This window comes from Homo sapiens, chromosome 12 (assembly GCF_000001405.40).
Source record: "Homo sapiens chromosome 12, GRCh38.p14 Primary Assembly".
Taxonomy (NCBI): Eukaryota; Metazoa; Chordata; class Mammalia; order Primates; family Hominidae; genus Homo; species Homo sapiens.
Window position 1 is genome coordinate 14691658 of NC_000012.12, and position 12840 is coordinate 14704497.

General features: G+C 40.8%; 1 protein-coding gene and 1 long non-coding RNA gene across 3 annotated transcripts in view, besides 1 other annotated feature; one reads left to right on the forward strand and one right to left on the reverse strand.

The window, feature by feature from the left end:
* The window catches only part of GUCY2C (guanylate cyclase 2C), an 83968-nt gene extending 79026 nt beyond the window's left edge, over positions 1-4942 (reverse strand). The window contains exon 1 of one of the 2 annotated variants that reach the window (XM_011520631.3): positions 4717-4942. Coding sequence is in view for 1 of the 2 variants with exons in the window: in NM_004963.4 (NP_004954.2) it covers positions 4575-4791 (217 nt within the window). In the remaining variant the exon portion in view is untranslated. Of the gene's footprint in view, positions 1-4574 lie in introns of both variants that reach the window. The other variant, NM_004963.4, reaches the window with a different exon arrangement.
* The window catches only part of GUCY2C-AS1 (GUCY2C antisense RNA 1), a 70584-nt gene that overhangs the window by 26022 nt on the left and 31722 nt on the right, over positions 1-12840 (forward strand). The gene's annotated exons all lie outside the window — the stretch shown is intronic.
* Positions 10355-10555: a silencer, noted in NCBI's record as "peak1579 fragment used in MPRA reporter construct". NCBI's record gives its function as "represses an SCP1 promoter by STARR-seq MPRAs in K562 erythroleukemia cells {active_cell/tissue: K562}" and the evidence as "EXISTENCE:reporter gene assay evidence [ECO:0000049][PMID:32103011]".

Below are 12840 nucleotides of genomic sequence, written 5' to 3' on the forward strand. Positions count from 1 at the left end.
ACAGTGAAAATGACACTTAAAAATCCAGTGCTCCTGGCAGCCCATGACTGATACAGCTAAACTCAAGTAGAAACCCTGGCACAGTGCCTGGGAAAAAGGGAACCAACATCTGTTGAGTGTGACCTCAGACAAGTGACTTCCCTACTGGGCCCCAGTTCCTCATCCACTTGTTAATAGAATAGAGCCAGTTGATCTCTTTCACTATATGCCTAGCTTTGGGCTGTGATTTTTTACAGGTATTATTTCACTTAATCCTCTCTGAATCCTTCAAGGTAATATTTTGTCATCCTCATTTAAACATGAGAAAATGGAGGTCTGGAGAGGTAGATTAACTTGTTTAAGGCTACACAGCTTGCAAGTAGTAGCGCAGGGATTTGAACCTAGGGAAGTCTAATTCTAGAACTTTGATATGCTGTAGAACAGCAGTTCTCAAAGTATGAGCCACTGAGGTACCCTTTAGTCCCTTTCAGGGGATCCATGAGGTCAAAGTCATTTTTATAATTATACTAAGACATTCCTTATTTTTTTCTACTCTCCTTCTCTCATGAGCATATGATAAGTTCTCCAGAGGCTATATCACATATATTCTTGCAACAGATTGAATGTAGAAGCCAATATGAGAATATAGCTATCTTCCATTAAGCTTGACATTAAAGACATTTGCAAAAGTGTAAACCAGTCTTCTCACTCGCTTTGTTTTTTTTCTTTTTTGGCTTGAGAAATATAGGTTTTCTTTAATAAAAATATTATTTATGCTAACAGATATTTATTTTTTTTGATGAATTTATAAAAAATGTTTAAAATGTTTCTCAGTTTAGTTTTCAATACAATCAATACTGATATATGTAGCCACATAAACATAACTCTTCAGCACCCTCATTAATTTTAAAGAGTTTAAAGAGGTCCTAGGCCAGGTGCGGTGGCTCACGCCTATAATCCCAGCACTTTGGGAGGCCGAGGCGGGCAGATCACCTGAGGTCAGGAGTTCGAGATCAGCCTGACCAACATGAAGAAACCCCGTCTCTACTAAAAATACAAAACATTAGCTGGATGTGGTGATGCATACCTGTAATCCCAGCTACTTGGGAGGCTGAGGCAGGAGAATCGCTTGAACCTGGGAGGCGGAGGTTGTGGTGAACTGAGATCATGCCATTGCACTCCAGCCTGGGCAACAAGAACGATACTCTGTCCCGAATAAATAAATAAATAAAGAGGTCCTAATACCAAAATATTTGAGAATGGCTTCTATGGAGCATAGTATAATATGCTGCCTCTCAATATTTTACTTTTATGTGTACTGCTTTCTCTTATTTTTAATTTGGTGGGGGTAATGTCTTCCCTTTTATCACTCCAGAACTCAAGTGATTTTTCTAGAAAATACTAAACATTTTTCAGACAATGACATAACTTCAAATCAAAGGTTTACTTTTAAAATAAGCCATTTCCCCCATGCTACTTTTCATCCTTTCCTACCGGCACTCTCTACCCCACAATGATATCTCATTCCTGGGAGGATGGATGGAAAGCTGAACAATATGGGGCGAGCTCAGAACTCTCTCTTCCTATCTAAGGGTTTAAGGATGGGGTTGGACCAACGTGGACCAACATGAAGCTAAAACCTTGGTGCTAGGGTCTAGGAGTGGGACCAGCTCAGCACAAGGGAGCACACACAGGGTATGGGTCATGTGATTAGCCTTGGAACCATACAGCCTCAGGGAGGTGATGTCATGAAGTCGAAGGAATCTCTTTTTTTCATGTTCTTTCCCACTAGATCCTGAATGTTCTTCAAGACCCTCAAAGCTTTCCTGATTCCTAAAAAAAATATTGATCATTTCCCTTTGAACATCACATATAACGCTTGAACTTTTACTTTTCCTCAATGTAACCCTGAGATATATTGTCTTATAATTTTTCCCAAATAATGATGCTCAACATGTTTAGAACATGAGCTATCTCTTCCCCAAAAACCTGTACCTTTTGTGTTTACTATGCATGCATATTCATCCAACAAAATGCACTAACAAATGTAAAAGTCTGGGCATCACAGCTTATTCCTTCATCTCCATAGAGCTCTCCACTTAAATGATCCATTTAACAACCTGCCCACTAATAACTATTTTACAAATGACTTGAGTGAAACTCGGAGATGATAAATAACTCACCTAATGTCACTCAACTGTAAATAATGGAGCAGGAATTCAAATTCAGATTGTATGCATCAGGGACCAAGGCTCTAACTAACATACTATTTAATTATTTTAGGTGCTTGGTAATGTGTTCTAGCAGTAGCAACAGCACAGAAACAATAAGAACAACTACATTAATGTCAATAACAACAACAGCAACAACTACCATTTATTGAGTTCTTACTATGTTTCAGTCAGTGAAGGAGGTACTTTATATGAGTTTTCTGATTGAATCCACATGCTATTCATATCGGGTAACTACCACTTATTCTAATTTATAGGTGTGGGAACTGAGGTTCCGAAAATTTAACTAGCTGCTTAAGGTCATACCTGTTGTGAATGGTCTGGCTGGAAAATAAATCAAGATCTGTCAGGTTCCAAATATCTGCTTCTAACCATAATGTTCCACTGCCTTGTTTTAATTAGAAACTTAGTTCACACTGGGTAAAGATATTACAATGGATTCCAAAGAGTGACCCGCAAACAGACAACCTATATGACCTTAGCAAAGTTGTTAAACCCCTGCTGTGAAACCAGTGTCAACCATGCTAACCTCACAGAGCTGTGGTGATTAAAGAGGTGATGTAATTGAAGTACCTAGAACTTAGCTACCCCATGATAGGTACTTAGTAACTGAAGAAACCAAGGCTCAGGGAGACTAACCCAGGATCACAGAGAGAGAAAACTTTGGGGCAGGGATCCCAGTCCAGGTCCTCAAAGGACAAATCAAGTGTTCTTTCCATTGTACCACACTGCCTCGGTAAATAAGGGGACTTCACTAAATAACCTCCTTGTTCCATTATGGCTCTAGATCAAATCCGTTCACTTATGTGTGAATCTAGTTTCAGAATTGGAGAGATGTTGTGTGTGCACAGAAGTAACTTATTATTCATATCTGAACAGCTGCCCTACTTCCACAGAATTTTAAATAGAGAAAATTAAGACATACCATCCTTAAAACCACAAATAACCATTAAGATGCATTAAATACTCATTGACTCAATAAGTCTATTTCTGGTAATCTAATCTCAGGGAATGCAGAAAATGAAAATGTTCATTGAAGTATTATGAAAATAGTAATGAGAAATTTAAAACAAATGAAATATCCTACATCAGAGAATTATTTTATATATATCTTATCATATATATCCCCCAAATTAGGTAATTTATATCCAGTGGATATAATACATACTGGATATTATAATATCTGGCGGATATTATATATCAATTCACATGATGACTAGAAAGGCCATGACGCTCTAGGAAAGTCACTTGTGCAATAATGTGAAGTGAACCAGAAGGATCCAAAACTGTTTCTATGCCATAGTGATCACCAACCACGTTCTTAAAAACAGGAAGCTAAGAAGCACATGAAAACAGACTGGAAACATCCAGGTGGCTGGGAATCATGGCTGCTTTTTTTCCCCCTTTATTTTACACATTTCATGTAATGTTATAAAATTTATTTTTATAACTAAAAGGTACAATGAAGAACTGCAACAATGAATTTGATTGCAAATGTTTTATATTAACTATGTCTAGTAATCACAGCCACAGGAAATGTAAAGAGTGAACAGACCACCCCCTCTCTACTAAAAATACAAAAAATTAGCCAGGCATGGTGGTGGGCACCTGTAGTCCCAGCTACTCGGGGGGCTGAGGCAGGAGAATGGCGTGAACCTGGGAGGCAGAGCTTGCAGTGAGCCGAGATCGTGCCACTGCACTCCAGCCTGGGTGACAGAGTGAGACTCCATCTCAAAAAAAAAAAAAAAAAAAAGAGTGAACAGGCCAGAGACAAATGTCTTTCTCTGGATAAAAGGCCCAGAGAAAGATTTGGTGTCTATGTGAAATTGACTGTCTTAATTCATCTTCTTGATTAGTATCCCTGTGAAATCTTAGGTCTAGACCAAATCTTACCTCTGAGTACAGAAGGAAACATAATGCCTTCCTGGAACCGGGCAATAAACTGAGTTTATTTTTATTTATTTTCTTTTTGAAGAGATGGAGTCTTGCTATGTTGCCCAGGCTGGTCTTGAACTCCCGGGCTCAGTGTCCCTCCTTCCTTGGCCTCCTAAATTGCTGAGATTACAGACGTGAGCCACCACATCTGGCCTAAACCCAGTTTTAACTGGGACGTTTCACTGCCGTGAACACTTTACATTTCCTGAGTCAGGGCTAGTCCCAGAGCAAGGTGAAGTGTGAGTGAGCACAGCATAATAGGGTTCAAATTCTTCTCTCTAAGGAGCTACTGTCATGAAATAGAAAGGGGTTTAGGGACAGTCCTTAGAGAAAGTTGTGTGATCAAAGAACACAAGGTCTTTGCTTAGCAACATTTTGTCCCCAGAGGTAGTAACAGAGTGGAGGAAGATTCTATTAACATTTTCTTACCAGCATTTTGCAGACGTCCTCTCACTATTTCCAGCCCCTCATTCACCGCATCTTCCAAGTTTTTCAGGGGCTCTGCAAAGGCTGAGTTGCCCATCATCAGGACGCTGATTTCATAGCTGCCATTGTGGCAGTTCTGACTCACCTGGGAACTAAAGGACAGCCACCCGGGCTGGAAGAGCAGTGACCACAAAGCCAAGTCCAACAGCAACGTCTTCATGACCCCAATCACGTTAGAACCATACTCCTTGTGCCCACTTGCTTTGCTCTGTTGGGCTCCTAGGGAGGCAGGGAATCCAGATGGACAGCCTCTAGTGGAGTCCCTCAGCCCACTCTTCCCCACGCTTCTCTCTGGTCATGCCCAACTGGTCACATGGGCCGTGGAACACAGCCTGCTTGCCAGTAATTAGCAGCTACGTTATGGCAGGAGATAAACCAAAGTTCACTTTGTGTTTGCACCCAGAAAGGTCAGAGCTATAAACAGAGAGATTAGCTGGGCCTCACCCAATAAAAATGCAATAATTTGTGATGCATCACTGGGAAGAGGGAAAAGAGAAAGAGGGCAATACATCATATATGTAACAAACTTTGTGAAGTGGAAAATAAAGGTCAAAGGGCTTTAGGAAAACACAGCTACAATTGACTATTAGTGCTTAAGTTTTAGCTGCACATTGAAACGAAATCCTTAACTTTATATATATATATAAAGTATATATATATATATATATAAAGTGTATATATATATATATATATATATATATAAAGTGTATATATATATATATATATATATATATATAAAGTGTATATATATATATATATATATATATATATATAAAGTGTATATATATATATACTTTAAGTTCTGGGATACATGTGCAGAACGTGCAGGTTTGTTACGTAGGTATGCACATGCCATGGTGGTTTGCTGCACCCATCAACCCGCCATCTACGTTAGGCATTTCTCCTAATGCTATCCCTCCCCTAGCCCCCCACCCCCCAACAGGCCCTGGTGTATGATTTTCCCCTCCCTGTGTCCATGTGTTCTCATTGTTCAACTCCCACTTACAAGTGAGAACATGCGGTATTTGGTTTTCTGTTCTTGTGTTAGTTTGCTGAGAATGATGGTTTCCAGCTTCATCCATGTCCCTGCAAAGGACATGCACTCATCCTTTTTATGGCTGCATAGTATTCTATGGTGTATATGTGCCACATTTTCTTTATCCAGTCTATTATTGATGGGCATTTGGGTTGGTTCCAAGTCTTTACTATTGTGAACAGTGCTGCAATAAACATATGTGTGCATGTGTCTTTATAGTAGAGTGATTTATAATCCTTTGGGTATATACCCAGTGATAGGATTGCTGGGTCAAATGGTATTTCTGGTTTTAGATCCTTGAGGAATTGCCACACTGTCTTTCACAATAGTTGGACTAATTTACACTCCCACCAACAGGGTAGAAGCGTTTCTATTTCTCCACATCCTCTCCAGCATCTGTTGTTTCCTGACTTTTTTAATGATTGCCATTCTAACTGGCATGAGATGGTATCTCATTGTGATTTTGATTTGCGTTTCTCTAATGACCAGTGATGATGAGCTTTTTTTCATGTTTCTTGGCTGCGTAAATGTCTTCTTTTGAGAATTGTCTGTTCATATCCTTTGCCCACTTCTTGATGGGGTTATTTGTTTTCTTCTTGTAAATTTGATTAAGTTCTTTGTAGATTCTGAATATTAGCCCTTTGCCAGATGGATAGATTGCAAAAGTTTTCTCCCATTCTGTAGGTTAAGCAGCAACTACTTATTAAGATTTGACTATGTGTTGAGCATTGGCAAGGCACTGAAGATATAGCCATGAACAACATAGATACATTAATGTCCTCATGGAACATGCATTCTAATGGGAGAAGGCAAACATTAAATAATTATGTTTATTTTCTATTTTTATTTTTTAATTTTAATATTTTTTTAATTTTTATTTAATTTTTTTTTTGAGATGGAGTCTTGCTCTGTCGCCCAGGCTGGAGTGCAGTGGCGCAATCTCGGCTCACTGCAAGCTCCACCTCCTGGGTTCACGCCATTCTCCTGCCTTAGCCTCCCAAGTAGCTGGGACTACAGGCGCCCGCCACCACGCCTGGCTAATTTTGTTTTTGTATTTTTAGTAGAGATGGGGTTTCACCATGTTAGCCTGGATGGTCTCGATCTCCTGACCTTGTGATCCGCCCACCTCAGCCTCTCAAAGTGCTGGGATTACAGGTGTGAGCCACCGCGCCTGGCATTAATTTTAATTTTTAAGGGTATGTAGTAGTTGTATATTTTTATGGGATAAACAAATATATGAATAACTAAATTCAGCAATGAAAAAAATTCAGAGTGCTATGAGAGCATATTGCAAATTAACATAACCTTTTCTAGAAAGTCAAGGAAGCATCCCTGAGACAGTGTCCACTAGCTAAGACAAGAGGATAAATGCATTAGCTGAATGAAAGGGAAGGAGGGCATACCAGGCAGGGGGACAGCTTGTGCAAAGAACCAGATGTGAGAAGGGGCATAGCATGTTTGAGAAACTGAAGAGCTACAGCCTGGTTGGAGTGGAGAGAACTAGGGGGTCAAGAGGCAGTAGAGGATGCCAGAAGAGTAGGTGGGAGAGGGCATGGACTTTCCTGTAAGCCAATAGGGATTTGGGACTATATCCTAAGAGTCAAGAAAGGGACATGAATTTTGAACAGACTGCTTAGACTTCCATGGAAGAACTGTCCTGGAGAGAGGCAGGCATAGGAACAGGGAACTGATGGGGAGGCTGTTGCTATAGACAAGTGAGAGCTAAAGAATGCCTGGATAAGGATGGTGGCATTGGAGATGTGTTAAAAAAATATCTAAAAGGTAAAATGTGGGACCAGCCTGGGCAATATAGTGAGATCCCATCTGTACTAAAAAAAAAAAAAAAATTAGCTGGGTATGGTGGCTCATGCCTGTCATCCTAGCACTTTGGGAGGCCAAGGCAGGAGAATCATTTGAGATCAGGATTTCAAGGCCAACCTGGGCAACATGGAGAGGCCCCGTCTCTATAAAGAAAAATTTTTTAAAAATTAGCCAGGTATGGTGGCCCATGCCTGTATACCCAGCTACTCAGGAGGCTAAAGCAGGAGGAGGATTGCTTGAGGCCAGGAGTTCAAGGCTGCAATGAGCTGTGATCATGCCACTGCACCCCAGCCTAGATGACCAGGCAAGAACCTGTCTCTAAATAAATAAATTAAATTACAAAAAAAGGTAAAATGGATGGGACTTGGTATTTGACTGGATTTGGGACATTAGGAAGAAGGAGGAATCAAAGATGACCCTGATATGCTCAGCTGGTTACTGAGCTCTAGAATTCTGGAAGGGGAGCAGGTTTGAGGGAGAAGATAATGACCTCTGTCTTGGGACATAGGGATCTTAAGGTGTCTGTGCAGTTGTGAAAACAGTCCCCATGGAATTTTGAGAAGAGAATCTGAACTTAAATGGGAGTTGGGAATTAAAATCAGAGACGTGTGATTGATCAGATAACGCCATTGTTTACAACACTGACTTGACCACTTATGGCAAAATTTATGTTTTGAAGTTAAAATTGTGAAAAATAAGTGTGTTAACTAGTACTATAACTCTTCCCTGGAAGCAGCTGCATTTGCAGTTACCTCACCAAACAAAATATATCAATTGTTGATAAGTTCAACCAATCCAAATAGAAGTAACCCAGCAAAAAAAAAAAAAAAAATTCTTTAACATTTAGACTGCAGCCACTCATGAGGTCACTTGAGTGGCCTTTCAGGGACCTTCTGTTTCTCAGCTGATATCACCTTGGCACTGGGAGCTGCATCTCCCATTGCAGGAGGATGGACTCCTCAGGCCTCGGCTGGAACTGACTGTATGAGTGAGGATTGTGGGATTCTGCCTCCTAGGGCAGGACAGGGATTGCTTGATATAACACAAGTTCCCTTAACTCAGCTTAGCTGGTCTCACAGTCCAGCCCAGGTAAAAAGCGGATTACTGAAGCAAACACTTGGAAGGTAGTGTTGGAGTTAGAGGGTAGATTTTCTACATTACTGATTTGAACAGTTCAGGGAGGCTGAGAGAGGGAAGAAGAAAATGACTTTGAACCAAGGAGCTCAAGGAACTCAGAATCTAGTTTGTTGGACAGGTCACGTGTTGAGTATTGAAATCAACCAGATTGATAGTAGGTGCTTGCTGGAGAAGACGATCTATCAATGCAGCAATAGATGAGGGAGAACAATCAGGACCAATAATTGACAGTGACTGATGAAAAGGGACTGAGCGTTATGGTTAAATGATATGTGCCTCAAAAGAACAGAGATTGTGTTTTTATAAAATATTTTAAAATGAGGAAGCAGATAATGCATGTAAAGGCTATATGTAATGAATATGTACACATTAAAAGAATAAGAAAATGAACACTCATATATCCAAGTTAGAACCTAGGACCTTCGCACTCCTATGTCCTCTATCCCCGAAACATCATCCTTTTCTGCTCCCAATGTAGCCAAGAGGTGTAGGGAAGAGTTAATCAAGAGATAAAGAATATTGAGGCATTTGTTGACCATAGCATGGGTATTTCAGAAGGCACTGTTAAATGTTTGAGATAAAGAATGGGAAGGAAGAAAGATCAGGGGGAGAGAAAACAGTATGAGGGTGAAAGAATACTGGAGGAGACACGATGCCAAGGGCTGTTGTTTTGGAGATGGTTGATGTGGAACAGGATGGGTTCAATCCCGGGTCTCCCAGAGAGAGGACGGGACCTTCACAGGATTCAGCTTTGATACAGAAGAAAAGTGCTGTGATTATTTTATGGGGCAGGATAGGTTGTTGTGGGTGATTGACAGGACTGGGTGCTGCATGGGGATTTGTAATGGATGTCAGTACCAGGCTGAAGACAGGCACATGGCCATCACAAGGATGCTCAGCCTTTGCTACAGGTAACGATTTTCTGTGTGGCACATTGGTGGCCAAGTTTGAACTCAAACACGGTTTTCTAACTATTAATTTGTTGCTCTTTCCACTTCCTGGGGCAGGAGAAGGAATAGAATACACTGTTTTTATTTTTAAAAAATGTGGTCCAGAAATTACAAGTATAAAAGAAAGCCATGTGGAGGGAGTTGATGAGATAGATAAAACTGCCAGGTGCTTTGATTCAGCTATAAAGACAGTAGGTAGGTGCAGTTCTGGGAATCCTCTGATTATAGCATGTAACCAGGATCATAATTCCAAATGTGAAGGATCAAAATAGCAGTCCTTCCTGAATCCCTTAAGACAAATAGTGTGTCTTCTTTGTGTCATAAAACTATAAACATGCAGATCATAATTAAATGTAGGCAGGTTCTGCTGGGAGAGTTTCAAGAGTCAAAACCAAATAATAGAACATTTGAGTTGGCAGCTTTAGGAGACATATTCTTGGCTATGGTCTGAATGTTTAGGTCTCCCTCAAATCCATGTGTTGAAATCCTAACCCCCAAAGTGATGCTATTAGAAGGTAGGGCCTTTGGGAAGTGATTAAGTCATAAGAGGAGAGCCCTCATGAATGAGATTATAAAATCTGGGGCCTCTTTTATAAGAGCCCCAGAGGTCTTATAAAACAGGCCCCAGAGAGACCTCTCCTCCCCCTACCATTTGAGGACACATAAAAAAGGCAGCTGTCTCTGAGCTGGAAAGCAGGCCCTCACCAGACACTGAATCTGCCAGTGCCTTGATCTTGGACTTCCTCCATGTAGGCCCTGTGATGCGGGATGCAGCTCCCAGGGCCAAAGTGTTATCAGCTGAGAAACAGAAGGTCCCTGAAAGGCCACTAAAGTGAACTGATGAGTGGCTGCAGTCTAAATTTTATAGATTTTTTTTTTAATGGGTTACCTCCATTTGGATTGGTTGAACTTACCAACAGTTTGTATCTTTCGTTTGGTGAGGTAACTGCAAATACAGCTGCTTCTGGGGAAGAGTTGTAGTACTAGTTAACACACTTATTTTTTACGATTTTAACTTTAAAACATAAAACACTTTCTGAAGTTTATAAGTCACCCAGTTTATGGTATTTTGTTATAGCAACCCAAACAGATTAAGACACTCTTCAATACAGAACAAGATCCTTTAAAGATAAGGGAAAAGAAAGAGGCTGGGCGCGGTGGTTCACACCTGTAATCCTAGCACTTTGAGAGGCCGAGGCAGGCAGATCACTTGAGGTCAGGAGTTTGAGACCAGCCTGGCCAACATGGTGAAACTCCATCTCTACTAAAAGTACAAAAATTATCTAGGCATGGTGGCATGTGCCTGTGATCCCAGCTACTTGGGAGGCTAAGGCATGAGAATCGCATGAACCCAAGAGGCAGAGGTTGCAGTGAGCAAAGATCATGCCACTGCACTCCAGCCTGGGCGACAGAGCAAGACTCTGGTCTAAAAAAAAAAAAAAAAGGAAAAGAAATTACTCCACATGGGAAGGGGCAGCTAAGCAAGTCACCTGTGTTTGCCACTCTTTAGTTTCTAGCAACAGTTTGGGTCTCTTTTGTAGCCTTTCCACTACAGTGCCCTTCCCTCCCTTTGGCCTGTGCGAACACATGCATCTCCTCAGTCTATTGCAATCCTAGTCTTCCCTTGTCTCCTTATCTCACTGGAGAAACAAAGATGATTTTTCAAAAGGAATTTTACCAAGGAACTAATTGAACTAGAACATGAAAGTTCTGTGCTAAACACAGTGGTGGAAATTCTGATCGAAATGTATTAAAGCACAATGACTGCAGTAAAGTATTTCTTAACAGATGATTTAATAGACTTCACCAGTTTAACAGAAATAGGCACTGTATGCTTGCAGTCAGTGGACATGTGCACTTTTGCTTAGTCCAGTTAAGTCGTATGCTTACTAAAGCTCCCTTCTGTTTGCACCCAAATTTGACAATTTTATTTATTATTTCATCATGTCCTTAATGAATGTAATTAAATGGTGATCTAATAAAATGCATACGTAAATTGTTGGAAATCTTAAACAAAGTCAAATTACTAAGAAAATTACCGTGGCAAGACTGTGTAAAACGCTGGAGAATACTATATAAAATCTAAAAAGATTCTGTCCTTAGAGTGCTTGTCAATTGTTTTAAAACATCAAACACTGAGGCCAGGGGTGGTGGCTCACACCTGTAATCCCAGCATTTGGGCGGCCGAGGCGGGTGGATCACCTGAGGTTAGGAGTTCGAGACCAGCTGGCCAACATGGTGAAACCCCATCTCTACTAAAAAATATACAAAAAATTAGCTGGACGTGGTGGCGGTTGTCTGTAATTCCAGCTACTCGGGAGGCTGAGGCAGGAGAATCGCTTGAACCCAGGAGGCAGAGGTTGCAGTGAGCCGAGATCGCACCATTGCACTCCAGCATGGGCAACAAGAGCGAAACTCCGTCTTAAAAACAAAAACAAAAACAACAACAAAAAACATCAAATACTGAAATAGATGATGCACTATGGGTGTGGTTTACTTACAAAAGCTGATTCAGAGATCCAATCAGGGCATCCGTGCTCAAAGAAAATTCCTTGGCCTGACTTCAATAGATGAATAAATGCACATGAATATGTTTTGAGACAAAACTTTTCAGGAATAAATTTATAATTTTTAATGATTCCTGTTTTAACTGATTTTTTTTTTCCTGTGAAAGGAATACTTACTGGTCCTCTTCACATAGGGTAAAATAATGTCAGATAAGTCAGGCAGCAAAAAGGATATATGATTTTGCAGAGGTCTCACATGGATTTGGATAGGCACGGTGGCTCATGCCTATAATACCAGCACTTTCAAAGGCCAAGGCAGGAGGTTCACTTGAGGGAAGGAGTTTGAGACTAAATGGATTTAGATATGCAAACTTTCTGAGTTAGGCATAAATAAATATGAGCAATCCAAGAAGAAGGAGGTTAAGGGGAAAGATGGAGGAAAAGGAAGAGATAAAACAACAAAATGGCAAGAGGTGAAGAGCTACAAAGAAATAAATGGCCAGTGAAAAAGACATAATGGGAAGTGGGTTGAAGACTTTTAATAACAAGGATGTCAGCCGGGTGTGGTGGCTCACGCCTGTAATCCCAGCACTTTGGGAGGCGGAGACGCGTGGATCACGAGGTCAGGAGATCCAGACCATCCTGGCTAACACGGTGAAACCCTGTCTCTACTAAAAATACAAAAAATTAGCCGGGCGTGATGGCGGGCGCCTGTAGTCCCAGCTATTCGGGAGGCTGAGGCAGGAGAATGGCGTGAA